The 27217-nt window shown below is 37.3% G+C and overlaps 1 protein-coding gene across 7 annotated transcripts in view; it reads left to right on the forward strand.

Annotated features, from left to right (window-relative positions):
- The window catches only part of KCNK2 (potassium two pore domain channel subfamily K member 2), a 231549-nt gene that overhangs the window by 149800 nt on the left and 54532 nt on the right, over window positions 1-27217 (forward strand). For all 7 annotated transcript variants that reach the window (XM_017001249.2, NM_001017424.3, XM_011509524.3 and 4 more), the window contains 2 exons: window positions 13858-14018; window positions 16656-16842. In XM_017001249.2, coding sequence (XP_016856738.1) covers window positions 13858-14018; window positions 16656-16842 — 348 coding nt within the window. The remainder of the gene's footprint in view (window positions 1-13857; window positions 14019-16655; window positions 16843-27217) is intronic.

Here is a 27217-nt window from a genome sequence, read left to right on the forward strand (position 1 = left end):
AAGCAACCTTTATCTCCTATTAGTGTTCCTTTTAAATATTTATTGACTATTATTATTCATTTTATTCCAGATGGATTTTAGAATAATTTCATTAAATTATATAATTTTTAAAACTACGAATTTTTGTTGCAAAGATAGTAAATTTGTTACTTATTCAGGAAGATATTTATTTATTTATTCATTCATTTATTTATTTAGAGACCGAGCCTTGCTCTGTCGCCAGGCTGGAGTGCAGTGGCGCGATCTCGGCTCACTGCAACCTCTGCCTCCTGGGTTCAAGTGATTTTCCTGCCTCAGCCTCTCAGGTAGCTGGGACTACAAACATGCACCACCACACACAGCTAATTTTTGTATTTTTTAGTAAAGATGGGGTTTCACCATGTTGGCCAGGTTGGTCTCCATCTCTTGACCTTATGATCCACCCGCCTTGGCCTCCCAAAGTGCTGGGATTACAGGCATGAACCACCACGCCAGGCCGAGATTTAATTTTTTAGTGAGTTCCCACAAAGAAACACTGTATTTCACTAAGTTTTTCTTTTACTATACCCACTCTCTAAAGTATCTTGAGGTGTTTATATTTGCGTGTCAATCAGTCAAGAATATTTATTGATTGTCAATTATCCATTAGTTAATAAGGAAGTACTCATGCAAAGTTCTGGAGTTATCATTATGAAAAATTATGTGTGTGTGTATATATTTGTAGATATATTATAGGTAGTCTGTGTGTGTGTGTGTGTGTGTATATATATATATAATGTAATCAATCAGTCTCTACACTCACGGAGCTCAAATTTGAGTAGGGAAGATAGACATTAAAATGAACTGTTGCAAATAAGTATATAATTACAAAGTACACAGTATTGATGGGAATTTTATTTATTTGTGGTGTTATTAAGTTCTGATCATAAAAATGCCTGTTCACTTGAGACTGTTCAGCCAGGAGCAGCATATGCAGGCCTCCTGTTAGATGATCCCCTTGCCGCTTGCAGTGAACTTAACAATAGCTGTCCATGAAGGCCTTCCTTGAAAGTGATGTGAAAAAGAAATACTAACTTTTCTGTGTGATATACTCATCTAAATTCCAGAGGCCTTGGCTTGGCATCCATCCAGCTCTTTGGCACAGACTGCCTGCAGTCCCCTACATTTGACTCTGTAATGTGTTGGTAAATGTTAGCTGGCTGATGGGGAAAAAGATCTAAATTACAGAGCTTGCCAATTTCTGTGGAACAAATATTTCTACTGTATTAGTCCATTCTCATATGGCTATAATGAACTACCTGAGACTGGGTAATTTATGAAGAAAAGAGGTTTAATTGACTCACAGTTATGCAGGCTTAACAGGAAGCATGACTGGGATGCCTCAGGATACTTACAGTCATGGCGGAGGTGAAGGGGACACAAGCATGTCTTACCATGGTGCAACAGGAGAGAGCTATAGAGAAAGGGGCAAGTGCAACACACTTTTAAACCATCAGATCTCATGAGAACTTACTATCACAAGAACAGCAAGGGGAAAGTCCACCCCCATGTTGAAACCCCATCTCTACTAAAAATACAAAATTAGCTGGGTGTGGTGGCTCGTGCCTGTAATCCCAGCTACTCGCGAGGCTGAGGCAGGAGAATCACTTGAACCTGGGAGGTGGAGGTTGCAGTGAGCCGAGATTGCACCATTGCACTCCAGCCTGGGCAACAAGAGCAAAACTCTGTCTCAAAAAAACCCCAGAAATTTATTTTCCTCCCACAAGGCCCCTCCTCTGACACTTGGGGAGTGTAATTGGAGATGAGATTTGGGTGGGGACACAGAGCAAAACCATATCATCTATTAAAGATAATTTCAAGCCGTCATGCAGAATTCCTTCAGAGATTTCTCTAGCCACCATTATACTGAGCTTTAAGGCTGAATCTGTCTCAGAGGAGATATCCCTCACGGGGTGACCACTCCCCAAGGCACAAAAAGAAGTGACCTAGCAGTTTTCTGACACAAATGCATGATTAGAGCCCCCCAAACAGCTGCTAAGCCAGCTGTAGTATTAAACCCCTTCTCCCTACCAGATCCAAGGTTCAGTCCTCTGGCCACTGCCCCTCCCCACCTCCTTGAAGATTATGCGTCATTAATCTGCAATCTTCTCTATTCCTCAAGCTCTTTGGAAGCCAGAATGACTGCCATTCCTTCCACTCTCTTGTTATGCATATATTATGCCATAAACTGAAAGCTTTACTTTCCTCAAGGGAAACATTTTGAGTATGAATACCTTATTTTAAGAGTTAAAACAAAATTTAATACTTTTCTGCCCATTTTTCTTCTTGCTGTGATAGTACTATTTTACTTAAGGCAATGAAGATGCTGCTGATTGACCAGGGAAAGGATCAGGAGTCCAGACAATTAAAAATATTAATATTTTAGAAAGCTCAGTCTACTCTACCGCTTATAGTCAATGGACATCTTTCATTTGATGCCTATAAATCCGTTAACAATATCACATCATTTAATTAGTGTCTGTATTCATTGGTTAGAACCTGTGGTACATCTGTGGAGGGAAGTCTACTTTCATTGTACACAGGGAAGAGAGGGAAGAAAGCATCAGGAAGCCTTCTCTAAAGAACCACCTGATTGGGTCACCAGGAGAATGGATGAGGGAGCTCTAATTAAGCCCTTTGTGTTGAAAAACTGCCAAGTCACCTTTTTGGTGCCATGGGGAGTAATCACTCTGTGAGGGATGCCTCCTCCAAGACACAGATTCAGCTTTAGAGTTCTGTATAATGGCGGCTAAAGAAATATTTGACAAGTGAAGCAGAGAATGTTCAGAGAAGGGTTCTATCAGGATCCCTCATTCTTCCTCTCTTAGGTCTCTCTTCTGTTGTCTGTCATAGAGACAGACAAGGGACTTGTCCCACATCCAGACAAGGGACTTGTCTCCATTTTGTGGTCAGTGAAAGGTAGATTGGCTATCCTAACATCTAGAATTCTCTTTGGATTTTGGGCCATTTTATAGGTGATGTAAATAGACTTCCTGAGGACATTCTTTGACAGATTTTCTGAGGATGTTCCATAGCGGCCTCCAGGGTAAATCTGAGTCAGTGATTGATGTAAACTTGGGGTTCTCATTTCTTATGCTCTTTTAACTTACGTGGGGTAGATCAAATTAAGTCCTCTTGACAGCTAGGATTTTATTATTAAAACAGTAAAGCCTATTTCTAGCAATGCCACAGGGAGGATAAAAATAAAACCAAAGTTGTATCTTTTATTTATTTTTTTCCCTGATCCTTCCTGGAGGTAGGTTACTTCTTATGAATATGACTCTAAAGACATTTGCCATCTTAGAGGTAGGTTACGTCTTATGAATATGACTGTAGAGACATTTGTCGTCTTATGCAAAAACAAACAAACAAACAAAAAAGAATTGGATGAAATAGGATAACTCAGACGCCTGCCCTACCCCAGGCCACATAGTTATTGACCTGGAGAAGGCAATAAAGGACAGTGTTGGATCTTAGCAGGACTCTGAGATAATCAGTGAACCCATGTCAAAATAGTGCACCCTGCTGACTTGGCAAGTCCTTCAAGTTTTTGGTACTCAGTTTATTGATGTTAGAATAGAGGATGGGTTAGAGGTTGTTGAGTTCTAGAGTTCTATTCTTGGATCATGTACAGAAATGGTTCACCCTCCCAAGTAGGTCAGTTGAACATTTCCTGACTTCTTAAACTTTGGGATGGCCTTTTTCTTCTTTAAATTACCTTCATGCAAGCTTTCTAGGCCTTTGTCATGCTTGCCCTGATGAATTATTTGTGCATGTTGCTCTGCTATAGAACATTACAAGGCATTAGTGGATAAGAGCAGATAAGAGACAAATGAGTTAAGTGCGGAGACTCCTTACATCAAAGCCCATGGTCCTGCCAGACTTTCCTAGGTGTCAAGGTGCCAGTCATGGCAGATTCTTCATCTTGACTCTAGGCACCCTTCTGTACTCCAGGGCTCTCAACTTCTCCTTGTCCTCTGCGCAGAGCATATAGGAACTTCTGGATTGTTTACAATTTGTGGAGATTTCTGAAGCTGTGTTCCATTGAGGAGACACTGGGTGGACAAGAATTTTACTTGCGTCTTCTCTAATTCCTTCTTTCCCCTATCAGGATCTACTGGGGACAGAGGCGGACGGTTATAGGGTTTTTTCTACTACCTAAAATAGAAAAGTACATTTTTAAAGAAGAATATCCTTGCTATATATGTAATACAATTGGGGAGCATTTTAAAGGATTATCATCTTATTTACTATCCTATGGTTTTATTTCCCTTCATGTGTTCTTTTCTAGCAGTATTTGCATTTTTGTTTTTTCCTGATACTATAACTAGTGCATAAAAGTTTGAGGAACATAATATTTACATACTCATAAAGTGTTTCCCTACAAATAACTTATTAATTGCAAAAGAAAAGAAAAGTAACTTTTCAGTAGTGAAACCTTACAGACCTACCTTAGCCAAGTTCTCAAAGTCAATATCATCTTAATAGGACAAGCTAATATCATATATACCCAGATGTGATGCACTGAGCAGGATGTGGTATTTCAGCCCCAAATGCATAACTTAAACCCATTTGTGAGAAAGTATCAGACAGATTCAAATCAAGGAATATTTTACAAAATAACTGCCCTCCATTCTTCAAAAACATAAAAATCACAAAAGATGAAAGAAGGTTTATGAACTATTCTGGGAGATTAAAGGAAACTAAACAGATATGCCAGTTAAATACAATGTATAATCTTGAATTAATAAGACAGTTGGAAGAATTTGAATGTAGACTGTAAGTTAAATGATAATACTGTATTAGTGTTAATTTTCCTGAATTTGATTATTGTACTTTGGTTACTTAAGAGAAAGCCCTGTTTTTCTTAAGAAATAACACAGCAGAGAACTAAGGGATAAAATGGCATGATGTCTACAGCTTACTATAAAATGGTTCAGAAAAAAGAAATGTCTGGATGTGGAGAGAGTGCGAAAGCAAAGTGGGAAAATATTAACATGTACAGGAAGCATATACAGGAGTTCTGTGTACAATTATAACTTTTCTGTGAGTTAAAGATATTTTGAAAATAAAAGGTGAAACAGAGAAGAAAGAAAACAGGCTCCAGGAGCACAGGTTTATTGTATGGCTTCTCCTTCCACTGCTCCATGGAAATGACCACTTCTGACGTCATTGATACCCAATTTGTTGCTAAATCATTAGACATTCTTCAGTGATGATCTTATTCAACCTTTCAAAAATAGCTGGTAATGTTCATCATTCTCTTCTTTTTTAGCTTGCTCTTCCTGTGACTTTCCTAACAACTCACTTCCCTTTATCCTTTTATAACCAGTCTCTTTGAGGGCCCTCTTTGCCATCTCTACACTTTAAGTGTTGGTGTTTTTTGGAATGTTGTCGTAGGCTCTCTTTCCTTCTGAGTCTGTACATTCCTCCTGGTTGTTTTATCTCCCCCATAATTTGTAGATCTAGTTCAGGTTGCTCTTGGGTTTCAGACTTATACATGCCATATTCTGTGGCTCTCTCCTTTGATTATTCCTCTGGGCATATCAAAATCAACCTACTCCAAATTTGTTATCTTTCTTACCTTCCTTGATCCTACCCTGGTATCCCCCAGACCTGGTCATTTTTCATTGTGTCCGTCTCAGAGAAATGTTGCCGAGATCATCCATTACTCATATCGGAACCTGGACTTGACACTTCTTTATTCTTGCCTCTCTATAAACATCTTCCTCTTTATAGCCGGAATAAACATGTAATAGGATCCATCTAAAAGTCTTGCATTGGTCAGTCAGCCTACATGATAGAGCCCAAACTATTGAGCATGGATATGATTCTTCATTATTTAGCTTTAGCTTTCTTTTCTTCCTTTATCTGCTGCAACTCTCACACACTCTTTTCTAACCATCTGAAATTCTTTCAGTTTCTCAGAGATGCTGGATTACGTTTTGATTTTTCCTCCAAGAACTTACATGTATTGTTCATCAGCCTTATCATGAACCCTACTTATTTCTGCTACTTGGGAAACTTTTTTTATGGGGCTTGCTCTTTCTCCCTCTCTGTCTTTTTTTTTTTAATTATACTTTAAGCTCTGGGATACATGTGCAGAACATGAAGATTTGTTACATAGGTATACATGTGCCATGGTGGTTTGCTGCAGCCATCAACCAGTCATCTACATTAGGTATTTCTCCTAATGCTATCCCTCCCCTGGCCCCTTAGCACCCCAGCCCCCGACAGGCCCCAGTGTGTGATGTTCCCCTCCCTGTGTCCATGTGTTCTCACTGTTCAACTCCCACTTATGAGTGAGAACATGTGGTGTTTGGTTTTCTGTTCCTGTGTTGCTTGCTGAGAATGATGGTTTCTAGCTTCATCCATATCCCTGCAAAGGACAAGAACTCATCCTTTTTTATGGCTGCATAGTATTCCGTGGTGTATATGTGCCACATTTTCTTAATCCAGTTTGTCATTGATGGGCATTTGGATTGGTTCCAAGTCTTTGCTATTGTGAATAGTGCTGCAATAAACATACATGAGCATGTGTCTTTATTGTAGAATGATTTATAATCCTTTGGGCATATAACCACTAACGGGATTGCTGGGTCAAATGGTATTTCTGGTTCTAGATCCTTAAGGAATCACCACATTGTCTTCCACGATGGTTGAACTAATTTACAGTACCAACAAGAGTGTAACAGCATTCCTATTTCTCCACAGCCTCTCCAGCATCTGTTTCCTGACTTTTTAACAATCACCATTCTAACTGATATGACATGGTATCTCATTGTGGTTTTGATTTGCATTTCTCTAATGAACAGTGATGATGAGCTTTCTTTTATGTGTTCGTTGGCTACATAAATGTCTTCTTTTGAGAAGTGTATGTTCATATCCTTTGCCCACTTTTTGATGGGGTTGTTTTTTTCTTGTAAATTTGTTTAAGTTCCCTGTAGATTCTGGATATTAGCCCTTTGTCAGATGGATAGATTGCCAAAATTTTCTCCCATTCTGTATGTTGCCTGTTCACTCTGATGGTAGTTTCTTTTGCTGTGCAGAAGCTCTTTAGTTTAATTAAATCCCGTTTGTCAATTTTGACTTTTGTTGCCATTGCTTTTGGTGTTTTAGTCATGAAATCTTTGCCCATGCCTATGTCCTGAATGGTATTGCCTAGGTTTTCTTCTAGGGTTTTTATGGTTTTTGGTCTTACGTTTAAGTCTTTAATCTATCTTGAGTTAATTTTTGTATAAGGTGTAAAGAAGGGGTCCAGTTTCAGTTTTCTGCATATAGCTAGCCAGTTTTCCCAACACCATTTATTAAATAGGGAATCCTTTCCCCATTGCTTGTTTTTGTCAGGTTTGTCAAAGATCAGATGGTTGTAGATGTGTGGCATTATATCTGAGGCCTCTGTTCTGTTCTATTGGTCTATATATACATCTGTTTTGGTACCAGTACCATGCTGTTTTGGTTACTATAGCCTTGCAGTATAGTTTGAAGTCAGGTAGCATGATACTGCCAGGTTTGTTTTTTTTTTTTATTAGGATCGTCTTGGCTATATGGGCTTCTTTTTGGTTTCATATGAAATTTAAAATAGTTTTTTCTAATTCTGTGAAGAAAGTCAATGGTAGCTTGATGGGGATAGCATTGAATCTATAAATTACTTTGGGCAGTATGGCCATTTTCACAATATTGATTCTTCCTATCCATGAGCATGGAATGTTTTTCCATTTGTTTGTGTCCTCTTTTATTTCCTTGAGCAGTGGTTTGTAGTTCTCCTTGAAGAGGTCCTTCACATCCATTGTAAGTTGTATTCCTAGATATTTTAGTCTCTTTGTAGCAATTGTGAATGGGAGTTCACTCATGATTTGGCTCTCTGTCTATTATTGGTGTATGCTTGTGATTTTTGCACATTGATTTTATATCCTGAGACTTTGCTGAAGTTGCTTATCAACTTAAGGAGATTTTGGGCTGAGACGATGGAGTTTTCTAAATATACAATCACGTGATCTGCAAACAGAGGCAATTTGGCTTCCTCTTTTCCTACTTGAATACCCTTTATTTCTTTCTCTTGCCTGATTGCCCTGGCCAGAACTTCCAATACTGTGTTGAATAGGAGTGGTGAGAGAGGGCATCCTTGTCTTGTGCCGGTTTTCAAAGGGAGAGATTCCCGCTTTTGCCCATTCAGTGTGATATTGGCTGTGGGTTTGTCATAAATAGCTCTTATTATTTTGAGATATGTTACATCGGTATCCAGTTTATTGAGAGTTTTTAGCATGAAGGGGAGTTGAATTTTATTGAAGGCCTTTTCTGCATCTGTTGAAATAATCATGTGGTTTTTGTCATTGTTTCTGTTTATGTGATGCATTATGTTTATTGATTTGCGTATGTTGAACCAGACTTGCATCCCAGGGATGAAGCCGACTTGATCGTGGTGGATAAGCTTTTTGATGTGCTGCTGGATTCAATTTGTCAGTATTTTATTGAGGATTTTTGCCTCGATGTTCATCAGGGATATTGGCCTGAATTTTTTTTGGCGTTGTTGTGTCTCTGCCAGGTTTTGTATCAGGATGATGCTGGCCTCATAAAATGAGTTAGGGAAGAGTCCCTCTTTTTCTATTGTTTGGAATAGTTTCAGAAGGAATGGTACCAGCTCCTCTTTGTACCTCTGGTAGAATTTGGCTGTGAATCTGTCTGGTCCTGGACTTTTTTCGATTGGTAGGCTATTAATCACTGCCTCAATTTCAGAACTTATTATTGGTCTATTCAGGGATTCGATTTTTTCCTGGCTTAGTCTTGGGACAGTGTCTGTGTGCAGGAATTTATCTGTTTCTTCTAGATCTTCTAGTGTATTTGCGTAGCGGTGTTTATAGTATTCTCTGATGGTAGTTTGTGTTTCTGTGGGATCAGTGGTGATATCCCCTTTATCATTTTTTATTGTGTCTATTTGATTCTTCTCTCTTTTCTTTTTTATTAGTCTAGCTAGTGGTCTATTTAGTTAATCTTTTCAAACAACCACCTCCTAGATTCATTGATGTTTTGAAGAGTTTTTTGTGTCTCTATCTCCCTCAGTTCTGCTCTGATCTTAGTTATTTCTTGTCTTCTGCTAGCTTTTGAATGTGTTTGCTCTTGCTTCTCTAGTTCTTTTAATTGTGATGTTAGGGTGTTGATTTTAGATCTTTCCCACTTTCTCCTGTGGGCATTTAGTGCTATAAATTTCCCTCTATACACTGCTTTAGCCGTGTCCCAGAGATTCTGGTACATTGTGTCTTTGTTCTCATTGGTTTCAAAGAACTTATTTATTTCTGTCTTAATTTCATTATTTATGCTACCTGAGTAACTTCTACTCAGATTCAGATCACAGCTTCAGGGTCACTTATCGTGTGCAGCATGTCTCATTCTCTTACATCCTGTGCATCAGGAACATTCTGTACTTTCTGTGGCACACACTTATCACACGTTTGTATCAGTCTCTTGCAGGTGTCCTCACTGGATTGTCAACTTGAGAGATCAGGTCTGTCTACTTCATAGCTGCAGCCCTAGTGCTTAGCAGAGTGCCTGGCAAATAGTAGATGCTTAATAAAAAATTTTGAATGTATGAATGAGTAATTGTAATCCATGGCAAAAGCAGATATTAGAGAACCTTACTCTTACTATGCATGTACATTTGCCTACTGATTCATTACAACTTTGTATCATAAGGAATCCTAGAAGACCATCAGTCCAAAGTATTACACACTGCAAGTGATTATCTGGCTTTTGTCTGACTCTTATAGTCCTTTACTCTATTTTGGCCACAGTTACTTTAGCATGAGCTTGCTTTCCATAGCTTGCACCAATTGATTTGTTCTTTGCCTTGAAGCATCAGAATAGGTCTGTTTCCTTTTCCATGTTTTAATCATTCACATAGTTGGAATCAGCTAGCCTGCATCTTTCTACTCTCAGCCTTCTTTTCTTCAGCACAAACACCTCCAATTCCTTCAACTTTTATATGTGAAAAGTTGCCTTAGCATACAGCATGCTATTTTGCCATTGTCCCTTATAAAGAATGGCATCTATAATTTGACAAAACATTCAGAACATAGTGGAAGAACAATGTGTAATCATGACTGCATTAACCTGGCTATTAAATAGTTTGCATACTGATGAGGCTAAATACACTGATCCTCTAACCTTTGCTTCTACAAATATTATTATTAATAGTGATTATAAGAATTATTATCATACCTAACATATATTGAGCACATATAGTATAATAGAGTAAGCACTTTTCACATAGTACTTTATTTGGTACTTAAAACTCAATGAAGTATGTAGTAACAATATGCCTTTTTAACAGATGAGGAAATAATTTGCCCAGGTAACTAAGGAGTGATGGTTCCAGGAATGGCTATAATATACTGCTAAACTGTTACTAGGTTTTGTCTTGACTGATGTCTTTCAATCAGTTAATTTTAGGACTTAAAACTCAATGAAGTATGTAATAACAATATGCCCTGTTAACAGATGAGGAAATAATTTGCCCAAGGTCACATAACTAAGGAATGATGGTTCCAGGAATGGCTATAATATACTGCTAAACTCTTGCTAGGTTTTCTCTTGACTGATATCTTTCAATCAGTTAATTTTAGGCTCTAACGTAAAATGGTTTTAAACAACATGATGTGTGATTGCCTTATTGTAAACCGTGGAATTTTTGTTAGATAATCGATATCTAACATCTTAAAAGATTTCAGTAAATTCAGATATTGAATTCCTTGTTATGTAAACATGCAGTTACCTCACATCACCAAAAAGTTGCATTGAGATGACAGAGACATAGAAAAATAATTATTGAAAATTTCCATAGTGTGCTCGAGGGCAGGGAAAGCATTGTGACTGACACAACAGGAGTGGATCTGGGGATGTTATGAGTCATACCGATGCAGAGGGACCATGAACTCTTTTTGAGTTGAGGAGCCCACATCCCCCATAGAAGCAAAACAGAGGATTCAAAAGATGAAAATTTCCAAGAGAACTTCATAAAGTCACCAAAATTAAAAGCAGAAATGGGTCCAAGGGCAGTCAGCCTATAAATTAGTTCAAGTTCTGTGGAACCACTAATCCTAACTTTTTGGTAGCTGCCTCCAGTCTTTGCCTCCAGAATCAAGCTGTGTTTTCCAAACAGAGCTGTGTTACAGATATTCCCAGAGCAGGCAGCAGGCCTGAGAAACAGTAAGGCAGCTGTACACTGGTGGCTGCTTTGAGAATTGGGAGAACCTGTCCCCAGAAATCCTGTACAATGCACTCCTACATGAAAGTCCAGACTCCAGTCTCCCCTCCTTCACCAGCACTACTTCAGCCTGGGCTCCTTGAACCAGAATCTTCCATATACCACCAGAAAAATCATGGTTCCCACTAAGGCTAGAAAATAAATTTCTACTAAAATACTAACCAATCTAGTATTGTATTTTGCTTACAAGTATGAGGATATGACCAGGAATTTTCAACTACTCGTAGAAATTGTCCTAAGTAAAGAAAGTGTAGGATTTCTCTCAAGGAATTGAGTTACTACGTGGTTCAACACTGAAAAAGAAATTAATATAATTATTATTTTCATGGCATAAGAACAGGCTAATGGAAAAAAAAAGTCAAAGTTCTTGAACATTAGATACATTGAAAACAAATCCCTCAGTAGATGAGTTGACTAGCAATGAACACGGAATTGACTAACTGTTTGAGTAGGAGGAAGAGAAAGATGGAAATATTGTAGGGGAAAATATGTGGGTTAAAGTGACTAAACATTAGCTCACCCTCACTCCATGTTCTTTTTGTATCAGACAAATAGAACATTCATTTTCTTTTCAAATAACAATGAAATAAATACAAAAATTGACCATAATAAAGCCACAAGGAAAATCTCAATGGATTCCAACAAGTAAAAATCACACGGCCCATAATCTTTGAACTACAATGGTCATTAAACTGGAAAGTAAAGTAACAACGACAAAAAAAAAAAACCAATCCCAAAATATCTGCTCACATTTTTGAGTAACAGATAACTAAAATCAAAGTTCCAAATTAATTTAATATGAAGGACAGTAAGAGGTTTGCTGATCAAAAGAGGTACTCTATGTACTTCTAGAAGTATATTTTTTAACCCAAGCATATATGTGTAGACAGTGCTTCTGCTATTAAAAGTAAATGAAGTTGAGCTACTTGAATAGTAACAAGTAGATATCCTTGCACAAAACTGGAAAGGCTTTAAGATCTTTAAAACTTTAAAGAAGTTTAATAATTTTAAGTTTTTAGATATTGCTTTTTGGTAAATATTGAATAAAAATACTTTAAAGTTGCTACTAAACTTTAATCTTTAAATAACTTAAGCATATCTGAATACTCTCGAATTAAGGCAATATAGTATTCTCAGTGTGTTCTGAATGATAATGAAAGCTTTATAGTCAACAGGATTATCAGCAATAGAGAGATAGAAGTAAGTTTAATGTGCCAAAAGCAGTTGCAACCAAAGCCAACATTGAAAAATGGAGTATAATTAAGCCAAAGAGCTTCTTCACAGCAAAAGAAACTGTCATCAGAGCAAACAGGCAACCTACAGAATGGAAGAAAATTTTTGCAATCTACCCATCTAACAAGTCTAATATCCAGAATCTACAAGGAACTTAAACACATTAACAAGAAAAAAAACCGATAAAAAACTGGGCAAAAGATATGAACAGACACTTCTCAAAAGAAGACATTTATGTGGCCAAAAAACATATGAAAAACAGCTCAACATCACTGATCATTAGAGAAATACAAATCAAAAGCACAATGAGATACCAACTCATGCTAGTCAGAATGGCGATTAGTAAAAAGTAAAGAAACAACAGAGGCTGTGGAGAAATAGGAACACTTTTATACTGTTGGTGGAAATGTAAATTAGTTCAACCTTTGTGGAAGACAGTGTGGTGATTCCTCAAGGATGTAGAACCAGAAATACCATTAGAACAGCAGTCCCATTACTGGGTATATACCCAAAGGATTATAAATCATTCTACTATAAAGACACTTGCACACATATGTTTATTGCAGCGCTATTTACAATATCAAAGTCATGGAACCAACCTAAATCCCCATCAATGATAGACTGGATAAGGAAAATGTGGTACATATACACCATGGAATACTATGCAGCCATAAAAAGGAATGAGATCATGTCCTTTGCAGGGACATGGATGAAGCTGGAAGCCATCTGCCTCAGCAAACTAACACAGGAACAGAAAACCAAACACCACATGTTCTCGCTCATAAGTGGGAGTTGAACAGTGAGAACACATGGACACAGGGAGGGGAACAACACACACTGGGACCAGTAAGGGGTGGTGGGAAGGGGAGGGAGAGCATTAGGACAAATAGCTAATGTATGCAGGGCTTAAAACCTAGATGATGGGTTGAGAGGTGCAGCAAACCATCATGGCACATGTATACCTAGGTAACAAACCTACACATTCTGCAATTGTATCCCAGAACTTAAAGCAAAAAAAGAAAGAAAAAAGAAATATTTAATGAAAATATGATTTTGAAAAAATAATAATGATAATGAAAACATTATTGCATGTGTCGTCACCTCAGTTTTCATCATCTCACAGTTTAATTGGAATATTAACTATACTTTGTATATTTTTGAAATATTTGCTTATAAGAATATCTTATATTAGAACATATTACAATAGTATGTAATACAAACGTATTCTTAACTAGTCAAAATCAATTATTGATATCTTGCAATTTTTTGGAGTTTCTGAATCAATCTTGAGTTCATATGTTTTAAACAACTATTATTCATTTGTAAACAATGTAATTTTTTTAAAGGATTTGGAAACATCTCACCACGCACAGAAGGCGGCAAAATATTCTGTATCATCTATGCCTTACTGGGAATTCCCCTCTTTGGTTTTCTCTTGGCTGGAGTTGGAGATCAGCTAGGCACCATATTTGGAAAAGGAATTGCCAAAGTGGAAGATACGTTTATTGTGAGTATGATAGATATTTAACTACGTATATTTATTGTTTGATTTTTTTAAAAAATTATATCTTTTCTGTCACCTCAGATACAATTAGACATTCAATTATTAGGGCTTCCATAACAATTTATATGCATCTCTACTGGCATGTAACTCACTGTTTTTTAATTATGTTTATACTTAATCTGAATGAATAAATTGATGCATGAGAAAAACTCAAAAGTATAAACAGAAAAAAGTAGGAATTCAAAAGTCTTAGATTCAAATTTCTTTTACTTTTTTCTTTTTCTTTCTTTTTTTTTTTGAGACAGAGTCTTGCTCTGTTGCCCAGGCTGCAGTGCAATGGTACAATGGGTGCAATCTTGGCTCACTGCAACCTCCACCTCCCAGGTTCAAGCAATTCTCGTGCCTCAGCCTCCTGAGTAGCTGGAATTATAGGCACCCGCCACCATGCCTGGCTAATTTTGTATTTTTTAGTAGAGATGGGGTTTCACCATGTTGGCCAGGTTGATCTTGAACTCCCGACCTCCAATGATCTGCCCATCTTGGGCTCCCAAAGTGCTGGGATTACAGGCTTGAGCCACCGTGCCCAGCCAGATTTAAATTTCATATGTAGTGTCTCCCAGCTATATTCTCTTAAACTAGTTATTATCCCATCAAACCTACATTTTCTTATTTGTATAACTTGAATAATGGTACTATGGAGGCATCACTCTGAGGGTAGGTGGCATTATAAATTTAACTTTAACATAAGTAGTAAATGACTGACTGTACTTTATTATTTTAAAATTTGTTTTGATACCCTTATAAAGCCCCTTTGGGAAAGATGTAGTCTAAATAACAAACATAATAAAGGTGATCATATAACTTAATTCAGTAATGCCATTGATAGGAATGTATCTACACAATGTAATTTAGTAGAACCAAAGGTGTAGAATACATGGAGATTTTCAAGTTGTATTATAGTCAACAAAAAATGAAAATGCTTTTGTTAGAATTTTAAGTGAAAAATAAGAATACTATGATGATAAACTTGAGTTCTTGGAAGAAAATTATGGAAAAAGTAACTGTTCCTGTTAGAGGGTGGGATTATAAAGGATTTGTTACTTCTAGCACCACTGTTGCAAATAAATTTTGTTCATTGTTTAGTAATGTTTTATACTTTCACACAAAGTTCAACAAAATATTTACATTTAACTCTACTGATGAAATAAAATATCGAGTATTGTTTTCTCAATTTGGATTACAGTTCCAGTTTTAGCACTAGTCATGATTTAAGATCAAAGTTAGATCTCAAGCATTTTGTTCAACATTGTGTTGAAATAGAATCACACAGTTATTCCAAAATTGGAGTTTTATTCTTTTTTTGTATTATACTTTTATTTAAAAGAATTATCTGTTTATATTAATCAAGAGGGCAGATTGACGGCATAAACATGGTAATGTTGAATTCTTCGTTCATTCATTCAACAAATTTTTTAGTGCCTCCTAGATGCTGGGTAATATTTTTTATGTTGCATATATACCAGTGCATAAAAAAAGTTCCATGCCCTTATGGTGATGACATTCCAGTAATCATGGTTCAGTGTTTGGTACCAAGCACTATTGTATAATCTTTGTAAACATGAACTCATTTAACTCTCACAGGTAAGATGAGGATGGTTGACTAGAGGAATGTCTATGTACCCTTTCCATTCTGTGATTTCATAGGTCTTTAAAAATTCTCAAGCTCTAACATTCAGTGATTTTCAGATGGTGTAGTTTGTGACCTATATTTTTTACAGTAAATAGGACAGATCCAGTCAGATTTAAAATATATGGTAACTAGCCTCGAATAGAAATCTGGATATAAACTGTTGTATATATACCAACTTCATTTAATGCATTACACTATAGAGATTTTTTTACTGGAGAAGGAGTTTTAAAAAATGGGTATTCTGATGACAGCTATGGCCTAGGGATATTGAAGACTTATCCTTACCTGCTGATCTTATAGCTTTGTTAGTTATACAATTTAGTATCATAGAACAGAGAATTCACCTGGTTCATGTTGGAATCAAACTGTGAAGGTTAAGCTGTTAGTATTATGCTGTAATCAATTAAATTGATGATAAGAAAAAGTGATGGAAGTGACAGAAAAAAACTTTATGAAATTAATGTTTATCAATGAACAATTGTAAATACTTAATTCTTGTTTCAGTGTCTCCATTTTCATATGGTTCTGGATTGTATTTGGCCTGAAATCAGTTGTATGTATGATTATAGAATAGAAATATTTCAGAAGTACTCTAGGTAAACAAATAATGATGCAAATCTAAAATTGCATTCTCAGGGCAAATGTAATTTACCCTTTCAAAAGAATTTCACCTGTTGTAAAGCTATGTGAGGATAAAGTAGCATCATTGTTAGCATTGATTGATTTATTGATGATACCTAATTTTCATAAGTAAAGACAATTAAAAACTAAGTGTAAAAGAAAATAAAATAACATGCTTACTTGCTAATTTGCTCATAATAGTGTATAGGTTAACTTTGTGGGTATACAAGTAATTTCTCTCTCTCTCTCTTTGTCTCTCTCTCTCTCTCTCTCTCCCCCCATTTATATACATATATATATATACACACACCTTTCTGTCTCATCCCTAGAAGTGGAATGTTAGTCAGACCAAGATTCGCATCATCTCAACAATCATATTTATACTATTTGGCTGTGTACTCTTTGTGGCTCTGCCTGCGATCATATTCAAACACATAGAAGGCTGGAGTGCCCTGGACGCCATTTATTTTGTGGTTATCACTCTAACAACTATTGGATTTGGTGACTACGTTGCAGGTAAGCTTTTCCTGGCATCCATGTTACTCTTCTAACAGGGGTTTATTAGATAGATTTTTCACTTAGGTTTATAACGAAACACAAGGGCTGTATGAGTTTTCTAGGGCTGACATACCCAAGTACCATAAAGTGGGTGGCTTTAAACAAAGCAAATTCATTGTCTCACAGAAGTTGGAAATCAAGGTACCAGCAGGGCCATGATCCCTCTCAGACTCAGTAGAATTTTTCTTAGCCTCTTCCTAATTTCTGGTAGAGGTCATCAGTCCTTGGCAATTCTTGGCTTGCAGCTGTATCACTCCCATCTCTACCTCCTTCAACACATGTTTTTCTTCTTGTGCCTCTCTGTCTCTGCAGCCAAATTCCCTTCTGCTTATAAGCATACCAGTCAAATTATATTATAGGCCCATCCTACGCAAGTATAACATAACCACATCTTAACTAATTACATTTACAGGAGCCTTCTATTATTATTTATTTATTTATTTATTTTTGAGATAGAGTCTTGCTCTGTCACCCAGGCTGGAGTGCACTGGCACGATATTGGCTCACTGCAAACTCTGCCTCCTGGGTTCGAGTGATTCTCCTGTCTCAGCCTCCTGAGTAGCTGGGATTACAGGCGTGTGCCACTAGGCCCAGCTAATTGATGTATTTTTAGGAGAGATGGGGTTTCACCATGTTGATCAGGCTGGTCTTGAACTCCTGAACTTAGGTGCCTCAGCCTCTGAAAGTGCTGGGATTACAGGCACAAGCCACTACGCCCGGCCTAAGAATCTTATTACTATTATTTTTTAAAATATATATATTTTTATTATACTTTAAGTTCTAGGGTACATGTGCACAACGTGCAGGTTTGTTACACATGTGCCATGTTGGTGTGCTGCACCCATTAACTCGTCATTTACATTAGGTATATCTCCTAATGCTATCCCTCCCCGCTCCCTCCACCCCACAACAGGCCCTGGTGTGTGATGTTCCCCTTCCTGTGTCCAGGTTTTCTCATTGTTCAATTCCTACCTATGAGTGAGAACAGGCACTGTTTGGTTTTTTGTCCTTGCGATAGTTTGCTGAGAATGATGGTTTCCAGCTTCATCCATGTCCCTACAAAGGACATGAACTCATCCTCTTTTATGGCTGCATAGTATTCCATGGTATATATGTGCCACATTTTCTTAATCCAGTCTATCATTGTTGGACATTTGGGTTGGTTCCAAGTCTTTGCTATTGTGAATAGTGCCGCAATAAATATACATGTGCATGTGTCTTTATAGCAGCATGATTTATAATCCTTTGGGTATATACCCAGTAATGGGATGGCTGGGTCAAACGGTATGTCTAGTTCTAGATCCCTGAGGAATTGCCACACTGACTTCCACAATGGTTGAACTAGTTTACAGTCCCACCAACAGTGTAAAAGTGTTCTTATTTCTCCATATCCTCTCCAGCACCTGTTGTTTCCTGACTTTTTAATGATCGCCATTCTAACTGGTGTGAGATGGTGTCTCATTGTGGTTTTGATTTGCATTTCTCTGATGGCCAGTGATGATGAGCATTTTTTCATGTGTCTTTTGGCTGCATAAATGTCTTCTTTTGAGAAGTGTCTGTTCATATCCTTTGCCCACTTGTTGATGGGGTTGTTTGTTTTTCTCTTGTAAATTTGTTGGAGTTCATTGTAGATTCTGGATATTAGCCCTTTGTCAGATGAGTAGATTGCAAAAATGTTCTCCCATTCTGTAGGTTGCCTGTTCACTCTGATGGTAGTTTCTTTTGCTGTGCAGAAGCTCTTGAGTTTAATTAGATCCCATTTGTCAATTTTGGCTTTTGTTGCCATTGCTTTTGGTGTTTTAGACATCAAGTCCTTGCCCATGCCTATGTCCTGAACGGTATTGCCTAGGTTTTCTTCTAGGGTTTTTACAGTTTTAGGTCTAACATTTAAGTCTTTAATCCATCTTGAATTAATTTTTGTATAAGGTGTAAGGAAGGGATCCAGTTTCAGCTTTCTACATATGGCTAGCCAGTTTTCCCAGCACCATTTATTAAATAGGGAATCCTTTCCCCATTTCTTGTTTTTGTCAGGTCTGTCAAAGATCAGATAGTTGTAGATGTGTGCTATTATTTCTGAGGGCTCTGTTCTGTTTCATTGGTCTATATCTCTGTTTTGGTACCAGTACCATGCTGTTTTGGTTATTGTAGCCTTGTAGTATAGTTTGAAGTCAAGTAGTGTGATGCCTCCAGCTTTGTTCTTTTGGCTTAGGATTGACTTGGCAATGCGGGCTCTTTTTTGGTTCCATATGAACTTTAAAGTAGTTTTTTCCAATTCTGTGAAGAAAGTCATTGGTAGCTTGATGAGGATGGCATTGAATCTATAAATTACCTTGGGCAGTATGGCCATTTTCATGTCATTGATTCTTCCTATCCATGAGCATGGAATGTTCTTCCATTTGTTTGCATCCTCTTTTATTTTGTTGAGCAGTGGTTTGTAGTTCTCCTTGAAGAGGTCCTTCACATCCCTTGTAAGTTGGATTCCTGGATATTTTATTCTCTTTGAAGCAATTGTGAATGGGAGTTCACTCATGATTTGGATGTTTGTCTGTTATTGGTGTATAAGAATGCTTGTGATTTTTGCACATTGATTTTGTATCCTGAGACTTTGCTGAAGGTGCTTATCAGCTTAAGGAAATTTTGGGCCGAGACGATGGGGTTTTCTAGATATACAATCATGTCATCTGCAAACAGGGACAATTTGACTTCCTCTTTTCCTAATTGAATACCCTTTATTTCTTTCTCCTGCCTGATTGCCCTGGCTAGAACTTCCAACACTATGTTGAATAGGAGTGATGAGAGAGGGCATCCTTGTCTTGTGCCAGTTTTCAAAGGAAATGCTTCCAGTTTTTGCCCATTCAGTATGATATTGGCTGTGGGTTTGTCATAAATAGCTGTTATTATTTTGAGATACGTCCCATCAATGCCTAATTTATTGAGAGTTTTTAGCATGAAGGGCTGTTTAGTTTTGTCAAAGGCCTTTTCTGCATCTATTGAGGTAATCAGGTTACCTACTGAGGTACTGGAGATTAGGACTTCAACATATCTTGGAGGACACAATTCAGCCCATAACAGTGGCAAAGACAAATAGTGACTCTGTGACACTGAAGGTATACAGAAAGGTGGAGTTAAATATTTATTTTTATTTAATGAAGGGAATATAATCACTGGTTGTTCAGAATTTTACATTTCCTCTCTAATTTTTGATACCAAATGTCTGCCTCTGATTTTTTTTTTGTTTTGTTAAGCACATATTTTGATTTTTTTCTTAAATAATTTCAACTTTTATTTTAGATATGGTGGTGTATGTGCAGGTTTGTTACCTGGGTATATTGTGCGATGTTGAGGTTTGGGGTAAGATTGATCCCATCACCCAGGTACCAAGCTTAGTACCCAATAGTTAGCTTTTCAACCCTTGCCCCCTTCCCTCCCTTCCCACTCTAGTGGTCCCCAGTGTCTGTTGTTGCCATCTTTATGTCCATGAGTACCCATTGTTTAGCTCCCACTTATAAGTGAGAACATAGGGTATTTGGTTTTCTGTTCTTGCATTAATTCAGTTAGGATAATGGTCTCCAGCTGCATCCATGTTGCTGTAAAGGACATGGTTTTATTCTCCTTTATGACTGCAAAGTATTCCGTGGTGTGTATATACCACATTTTCTTTACCTAATCCACCACTGATGGACACTTGGATTGATTCCATGCCTTGGCTATTGTGAATAGGGCTCTGATAAACACATGTGTGTATGTGACTTTTTGTTAGATTTCTTTTCCTTTGCATATATAGCCAGTAATAGGATTGCTGTGCTGAACGGTAGTTCTGTTTTAGTTCTTTGAGAAGTCTCCAAACTGATTTCCACAGAGGCTGAACTAATTTTCATTCCCACCGTCAGTGTGTAAGCATTCTCTTTTCTCCAGAGCCTTACCAGCATTATTATTTGTTGACTTTTTAAAAATAGCCTTTCTGACTGCTATGAGATGATATCTCATTGTGGTTTTGATTTTCAATTCTCTGATGATTAGTGATGTGGGGCATTTTTTTATATGTTTGTTAGAAACTTGTGTGTCTTCTTTTGATAAGTGTCTGTTCATGCCCTTTGCCCACTTTTTTTTCTTCAACTTTTATTTTAAGTTCAGGGGTACATGTGCAGGATATGAATGTTTGTTACATAGGCAAACGTGTGCCATGGTGATTTGCTGCACAGATCAACCCATCACCTAGATATTAAGCCCAGAATCTATTAGCTATTCTTCCTGTTGCTTTCCCACCCCTGCACCGCTGACAGACCCCAGTGTGTGTTGTTCCCCCAATGTGTCCATGTGTTCTCATCGATCAGCTCATACTTGTAAGTGAGAATATGTGGTGTTTGGTTTTCTGTTCTTGTGTTAGTTTGCTGAGGATAATGGCTTCCAGCTCCAACCATGTCCCTGTAAAGGACATCATCCCATTCCTTTTTATGGCTTCATAGTATTCCATGGTATATATGTACCAGGTTTTCTTTATCCAGTCTATCACTGATGGGCATTTGGGTTGATTTCTTGTCTTTGCTATTGTGAATAGTGCTGCAATGAACATATGTGTGCATGTATCTTTATAATAGAATGATTTATATTCCTTTGGGTATACACCCAGTAATGGGATTGCTGGGCCCAGTGGTATTTTTGGTTCTAGGTCTTTGAGGAATAATCACATTGTATTCTACAATGGTTGAACTAATTTACATTTCCACCAACAGTGTAAAAGCGTTTTTATTTCTCCACAGCCTTGGCAGCATCTGTTGTTTCTTAAATTTTTAATAATAGTCATTCTGACTGGCATGGAATGGTAGCTCATTGTGGTTTTGATTTGCATTTCTCTAATGATCACTGATGTTGAGTTTTTTTTCATATGTTTCTTGGCCACATGAATGTCTTCTTTTGAGAAGTGTCTATTCATGTCTTTTGCCCACTTTTTAGTGCTTTGCCCACTTTTTAATTGTGTTGTTTTTTGCTTGTTGATTTGTTTAAATTCCTTTAAGATTCTGGATGTTAGACCTTTGTCAGATGCATAGGTTATACTTATTTTATCCAATTCTATAGGTTGTCTGTTTACTCTGTTGATAGTTTCTTTTGCTGTGCAGAAGCACTTTAGTTTAATTAGGTCCTATTTGTCAATTTTTGTTTTAGTTGAAATTGCTTTTGAGGACATAGTCACAAATTCTTTCCCAAGGCTGATGTCCAGAATAGTGTTTCCTAAATTTTCTTCTAGGATTCTTATAGTTTGAGGTCTTACATTTAAATATTTAATCCATCTTGAGTTAATTTTTGTATATGGTGAAAGTTAGGGGTCCAGTTTCATCCTTCTTTATATGCTAGCTAGCTATCCCAGCACCATTTATTGAATAGGGAATCCTTTCCTCACTACTAATTTTTATTGACTTTGTCAAACATCACATGACTGTAGGTGTGTGGTTTATTTCTGGGTTCTCTATTCTGCTCCACTGGCCTATATATATATGTGTATATATATATATATATATTTTTTTTTTTTGTAGCAGTACCATGCTGTTTCGGTTACTCTACCCTTGTAGTGTTGTTTGAAGTCGAGTAATGTGATGTCTCCAGCTTTTTTTTTTTAGGATTACTTTGACTGTTCAGGCTCCTTTTTGATTCTATATGAATTTTGGAAGAGCTTTTTCTAGCTTTGCGAAAAACGATATTGGTAGCTTAATAGAAATAGCGTTGAGTCTATAGATTGCTTTGGACAGTATGGTACTTTTAAAAATATTGATTCTTTCAATCCATGAATATGGAATATTTCTCTATTTTTTGTGTTACCTATAATTTCTTTAAACAGTGTTGTGTAGTTCTTGTAGAGATCCTTCACTTCCTTGGCTAGATGTATTCCTGTTTTTTTGTGGCTATTATAAATGTGATTGTGTCCTTAATTTGGCTCTGATATTGAATGTTATTGGTATACAAAATGCTACTGATTTTTGTACATTGATTTTGTATCTTCAAATGTTACTGAAGTTGTTTATTACAGGAGCCTTTAGGCAGAATTTTTAAGGTTTTCTAAGTATAGAGTCATATTGTTAGTGAAGAAAGATAGTTTAACTTCTTCTTTTCCTATTTGGATGCTTTTATTTTTTTCTTTTGCCTGATTGCTATGGCATGGACTCCCAGTAGTATGTTGAATAGGAGTGGTGAGAGTAGGCATCCTTACCTTCTTTCTGTTTTCAAGGGGAATGCTTCCAGTTTTTGCCCATGCAGTATGCTGTTGACTGTGGGTTTGCCATAGATGGCTCTTATTATTTTGACATATGTTTCATCAATGCCTAATTTCTTGGGGATTTTTATCAGGAAGGGATGTTATATTTTATTAAAAGCTTTTTCCACATCTATTGAGATGATAGTATGGTTCTTGTTTTTAATTCCATTTATGTGGGAATCACATTTATTGATCTGTATATGGTGAACCAACCTTGCATTCTAGGAATGAAGTCTACCTGATCATGTTGAACTAACTTTTTGATGTGCTGTTGGACTCAGTTTGTTGAAGATTTTTGCATCTACATTCATCAAGGATAATGGCCTATAGTTTTTCTTGTTATTGTGTCTTTTGCCATATTTTGTTATCAAAGTGATGCTTGCTTCATAGAATGAGTTAGGGAGGAGTCCCTCCTCTTCAATTTTTTGGAAAGAGTTTTAGTAGGATTTGTACCAGCTCTTCTTTGTACATCTGGTAGAATCTGAATGTGAATTAACCTAGTCCAGGGATTCCTTTGGTTGGTAGATTTTTTTTTTTAATTACTGATTCCATTTTGGAAGTCAATATTAGTCTGTTCAGGGTTTTAATTTCTTTCTGATTCAGTCTTGGGAGATTGTGTGTTTATGGGAATTTATTTATTTCCTCTATATTTTTTAATTTGTGTGCATAGAAATGTTCATGATAGTCTCTGAGAATCTTTTGGACTTCTGTGGGACCAGTTGTAATGTTACCTTTGTCATTTCTGATTGTGCTTATTTGGATCTTCTCTCATTTTTTTCTTTGTTAATCTAGCTGTCTATTGATCTTGCTTATCCTTTCAAAGAACCAACCTTTGGTTTTATTATTTGCATGGATTTTTGAGTCTCAATTTCATTTAGTTTTGCTCTGATTTTATTCTTTTATTTTTTTTCTCTTCTAACTTTAGTCACTTCTGCTAGCTTTGGAGTTAGTTTCTTCTTGTTTTTCTAGTTCCTTTAGGTGTGATGTTAGATCTTTAATTTGAGATCTTTCTAACTTTTTGAGGTAGGCATTTGGCAATATAAACTTCTCTCTTAACACTGCTTTTGCTGTATATTGTATATTGTGTTTCTGTTTTCATTTATCTCAAATAATTTTTTTAATTTCTAGTTTAATTTTCTTGTTTACTCAACATTCATTCAGGAGCAAGTTGTTTAATTTCTGTATAATTGTGTGGTTTTGAGAGATCTTCTTGGTATTGACTTCTATTGTAATTCCACTGTAGTCTGAGAGTATGGTTGGTATGCTTTTAATTTTTTTAAATTTATTGAGATTTGCTTTATGGCTGAGCATGTGGTTGATCTTCAGATATGTTCCATGTGCAGATGAGAAAAATGTATATTCTGTGGTTGATGGATGGAGTATTCTGTAGATGTCTGTTAAGTCCATTTGGTCAAGTGTTGAATTTAAGCCCAGAACTTCTTAGTTTTCTGCCTTGATGATCTTTCTAATGCTGGCAGTGCAGTGTTGAGGTCCCTCACTCTTATTATATGGCTAGCTGAGTCTTTTCATAGATCTGGAAGAGCCTGTTTTATGAATCTGGGTGGTCTAATGTTGGGTGCATAAATATTTAGGATAGTTAAGTCTTCTTGTTGAATCGAACCTCTTATCCTTATGTAATACCTTACTTTGTCCTTTTTTACTGTTGTTGGCTTAAAGTCTGTTTTATCTGATATAAATCAGTGACCTCTACTCTTTTTCATGTTCTGTTTGTGTGACAGATCTTTCTTCAACCCTTTTCTTTGAGCCTAAGGATGTCTTTATCTGTGAGATGGGTCTCTTGAAGTCAGCAGATGGATAGGTCTTGGATTGTGTTTCCAACTTGTCCCTCTGTGCCTTTTAAGCGAGGGCATTTAGACCATTTACATTCAAGGTTAATATTGATATGTTAGGTTTTGATCCGATTATGTAGTTGTCAGTTGGTTGCTTTGTAGTTTCTACTTTGTGCTTGCTTTATAACCTCTGTGGGCTATATACTTAAGTGTGTTTTTGTGGTAGCAGGTATCATTTCTTTTTTCCATGTTTAGAACTCCCTTAAGTATCTCCTGTAAGGTTAATGTAGTGGTAACAAATTCCCTTAATGCTTGCTTGTCTGGAAAAAATATTTTATTTCTTCTTTACTTCTGAAGCTTAGGTTGGTGGAATATAAAATTACTGGTTGAAATTTCTTTTCTTTAAAAATACTGAAAAAAAACCCCAGTCTCTCCTGGCTTGTCAGGTTTGTGCTGAGAAATCCACTATTAGTCTGATGGTGTTCCCCTTATATATGATTTGACCTTTGTCTGTAGCTCCCTTTAAGATCTTTTCTTTAGCATTGACCTCAGGCAGTCTGGTGACTGTATGCCTTGGTGATGTTTGTTTTGTATAGTTCTCACAGGTGTTCTCTGGATTTCTTGTATCTGAATGTCACCTCTCTAGCAAGATTAGGGAAATATTATTGAATTATTCCTTCAAATATGTTTTCCAGGTTGTTTTCTTTATCTCTGTCTCTCTCAGGAATGCCAATAATTTTTTTAGATTTTGCCACTTTACATAATCCTGTATTTCTGAAGGACTTTCTTTACTTCTTACAATTCTTTTTTCTTTATTTTTGTCTGACTGTGTTAGTTCAAAAGATTAGAGTTCAAGCTCTGAAATTCTTTCTTCTCTTTGGTCCAGTCTGTTGATAGAGCTTTCAGTTTTAGTTTGAAATTCCTTAAGTGAGTTTTTCAATTTCAGAAGCTCTGATTGATTTATTTTAATATGTTTATCTCTTACACTTCCTAGATTGTTTTAGAAATTTCTTTGTGTTGATTTTCAACTGTGTACTGGCTTTTGTTAAGCTTCCTTGCAATCCATGCTTTGAATTCTTTATCTGTCATTTCTGAGTTTCCATTTTGGTTTGGGGCCATTGCTGGGTAGCTATTGTGATCCTTAGGTGGTGTCACTACATTCAGATTTTTTCATGGTGCCAGAATTCTTGCCCTGGTTCTTTCTCATCTGGAGACACTGCCACTTCTAATTATTGTAATTATTTTTATATGAATAGCATATTTTTATTTTTCTTTCTTTCTCTATAATGTTGCTATGTTCCTCTTTTCTTTCCTCCTCTCCCCTGCTTTTTACACGGGGTGTGACTGTAGAGAATACTGGGCAGGGTATTTTGACTTTGCTGCTATAGCCCTATGTACTTCTCTCAGCAGGTTTTATCTTGAGCTATGCTGTCAACTTATAAGCCAGTAGATGGCACTTATGGGTAAGAGCCAGCTGTGGCCAGTGAGGCTGGGTATGTACTTAATCCTTTTTTAACGGGAATATCTTTCTGTTGCATAAGGCAATGGGCTGATTTTTGGATTGCTCAGTGTTTTGAGCTCTCTGCTCAGGCCAGGGGAGGCCACGATAGGCAGGGCTGGGCTTGGCAGGTTTGCATACAGGTCCCCTGATGGCAGGTACAGGCACTAGCACTGAGGGAAAATCCAGTGCATGGCCACTGAGTGTCCAGAAGTGCGCCTAAGCATGGAGCTGGGGAACTCCTTGACCCCATGTTCTCTATACAGGGATGGGGGAGATCTAAACTCTTAATCCAAGAGAGTAGTTGCTCCAGATGCCTGGAGATCTACCTGGGCATGCAGCAGAGAGTGCCCCCCTGCACCAAGATCTCTTCAAAGGAGGGGTGGGATGACTCAGGCTGCTGAACCAGGCAAACAGATGCTCTGAATGCCTGGAGATCTGCCTGGGTGTGGAGCAGAGAGGGCCCCACTGCACCATGATCTATGCGCAGGAAGGGCAGAGCTATTCAGGCTGCTGATCCAGTTGAGGAGGTGCTCCAAATGCCTGGAGCTCTGCCTAGGGTTGGAGTGGAGAGGGGTTTGCTGCACAACAATCTATGTCCAGGAAGCATTGGGAAGCTTAGGCTGCTGAGCCAGGCAAGTGGGTGTTCTGAATGCCTGGAGTTCTCCCTGGGGTTTCAGTGGAAAGGGCCCACTGCACTACAATCTCAGGGGAGCATCCTGGGCACTCAGTAACGACACATACAGATTGGTACCAGGTCACCACTCTGCCCCTGCCTGCAAGTCTCCTTGCCCAAGA

The sequence above is a fragment of the Homo sapiens genome, chromosome 1, assembly GCF_000001405.40.
Source record: "Homo sapiens chromosome 1, GRCh38.p14 Primary Assembly".
NCBI classification, from domain to species: domain Eukaryota; kingdom Metazoa; phylum Chordata; class Mammalia; order Primates; family Hominidae; genus Homo; species Homo sapiens.